The sequence below is a fragment of the Homo sapiens genome, chromosome X (genome assembly GCF_000001405.40).
Source record: "Homo sapiens chromosome X, GRCh38.p14 Primary Assembly".
Taxonomy (NCBI): domain Eukaryota; kingdom Metazoa; phylum Chordata; class Mammalia; order Primates; family Hominidae; genus Homo; species Homo sapiens.
The window spans coordinates 51,680,973-51,683,088 of NC_000023.11; the positions used below are offsets into that span (position 1 = coordinate 51,680,973).

Here is a 2,116-nt window from a genome sequence, read left to right on the forward strand (position 1 = left end):
CAGCGAGCAGGCGGCAGGTCCAGGATTCAAACACAGGTAGTGTGTCCCCAGAGGCCAAATGTGTAAACCCTCTGCTAATTCCCCTCATCAAAAGGTAGGGGACCCTGGGGAAGCTTTCTCTACTACAAAAGCCAGAGTCACCACCACCTTCTGAAATAATCTGAGACCAAGTACCTTCAAAAACCAAGCCTTGCCATACATAGCCAAGCCGGACTTTATAGACACACCAACACACATAGTTTCCTAGAAGGTATTTACTGATTTCTATATACTTAACACATGTACAAGACAGGTATTTCAAAAGATTAAAGAGGGCAGACAGTGCGCAGATGTCTTTCTCATTCCTGTGTGCACAGATGTCTTTCTCATTCCTGTATCCCCATCTCCTTACCCAGAGACACTTCCCAAACAACAAGCGAAATAGTAACAGCTTTCGCTGTTACAGGAAATAAAGAGTAATGAGGTATGTAACACGACCAAATCTTGAAATATATCATTTAAAAACCAGTAAATAGCATAACTCGAATCTAAGCAGTGAAAATATGAACGTCTACCTGAAACTCACAGGTGCGGGAGCCCACGCACACCATAATCAATGGAAGACGTCCTAGCACATGTTTACAAACTGGTTGTGTGTTGCCGTCCTACACACCAGAGGCAAAGCGCTGAAAACAACAAGCCTGTTCACAATAGCACCAGGAACGTACAGTACACAGGAATCATCTGCAGGTGATTTGTGACAACTGTAGGCAGAACAGTAAAAGCGAGAGATACAATGGATGGTTTGAAAAATCAGAGACACTCTTCTTCCTTACCGAATTGCAAGATTAACGTTGTACTACGCAGACAAAGGTGTGTTCAAGATTTGGATCGTAAGCGAGTTCACTGAAAACTAGCGGAGGGGAAGGGCAAATACTGGAAGGGAATCCCCGGTGTGACCAGGCCAGAAACACCTCTTTCACAGCATGGGATCTGTGCAGGTACTCGGACGCTCCCCGCAGGGCCGCCCGGGCCGGTTTCAGGCGGGCTTGCGGCCCCAATCACTGCTCCTGTTCGCGGGGACAGGCAGGGGCTGACTGGGAGGACGTCTTGTGGATGGCCTTGTGCTCCTCGGCGGCCTCCTCCCCCGGGTCGCCACCGCCGACCTCCTCGATGACCACGCTGCGCACGGTGCCCTCGTCCAGGCAGTGCGGGGCGACGCCGTACACGCGGGGGTCAGAGACAGCTGCGTGGAAACTCTGCACCCCGCACCTGCTGCAGAAGCTGTGCAGCGCCGGGTGCGTGTTGGACCGATAGGTGACGATGCTTTCTGCGCCCTGGAGCAGCGTGAAGCGCGAGGCCGGGACGAGGAAGTGGCGGTGCTGCTTCTTCCTGCACAGCCTGCAGCTGCAATCCACGACGCGCAGATCTGCAGGGGCCCAGACCGCAAAGCGGACCGCGCCGCAGTGGCAGCCCCCGGTGTGATGCACGAGGCCCGGGTACTCGAAGGTGTCCAGCAGGACCTTGGCGGCGCCCTCGCAGCTGAGGCCCCGCAGCTTCCTGAACGTCTCCCAGCGCTCCCGCTGTGCGCCCAGGTCCAGATCCTTGGGGGACGGGGCGGGCCCCGGCGGGTCCGGGGTTGGCGCGGAGGGCAGCAGGTCTCTGGGGCCCGCCTTCCGGACCCGCCGCCAGCGGCGCTTCCGTCGCCACCTACCCAGCCACCTCTTGGCCGCCGCGTGGCTCCCGACCCCGACTTGGACCCGGGGGCACTGCGCGCGGCTGGCGCCCGTGACCGCGATGGCCGCGCAGGCGGCGGGAGGATCCCCGGGCCGCTTTCGCCTCCGCCGCTGAGCAGTGGCGCGGTTCCTCACTCTGCCCATGGCGCCTGCAGCCTCCGGAGCGCGTGCCCACACCCCACCCTCATTTCCCCGTCAGTCGCTGAGCAGCCTCCTTGCCTGCGCCAGCAGGATTGGCCCCTTGTTGAATGCGATGTAAAGAGACCCTTCCCTTGACCCTATCACAACAGCCTTCGCTGGCCTGAAAGGCAGTCATGAGGCGTTCAGCAAACACCTGCCGGGCACCAGATACCCTCACCTGGGCGCTGGGATGTGGAGATGCATCAGGCTTTCCAAAGCAC

The 2,116-nt window shown here is 58.0% G+C and overlaps 1 protein-coding gene across 1 annotated transcript; it reads right to left on the minus strand.

Annotated features, from left to right (window-relative positions):
• Positions 1 to 239: 239 nt before the first annotated feature.
• Positions 240 to 1,859, minus strand: CENPVL2 (centromere protein V like 2). Its single transcript, NM_001355278.1, has one exon. The coding sequence runs from the start codon at positions 1,857 to 1,859 to the stop codon at positions 1,041 to 1,043; it is 819 nt and encodes a 272-aa protein (NP_001342207.1). The 3' UTR covers positions 240 to 1,040.
• Between the last annotated feature and the right edge of the window lie 257 nt (positions 1,860 to 2,116).

Coding starts and splice junctions, on each gene's coding strand:
- CENPVL2 (NM_001355278.1), bottom strand. CDS start 1,859: ATGGGCAGAGTGAGGAACCGCGCCACTGCTCAGCGGCGGAGGCGAAAG.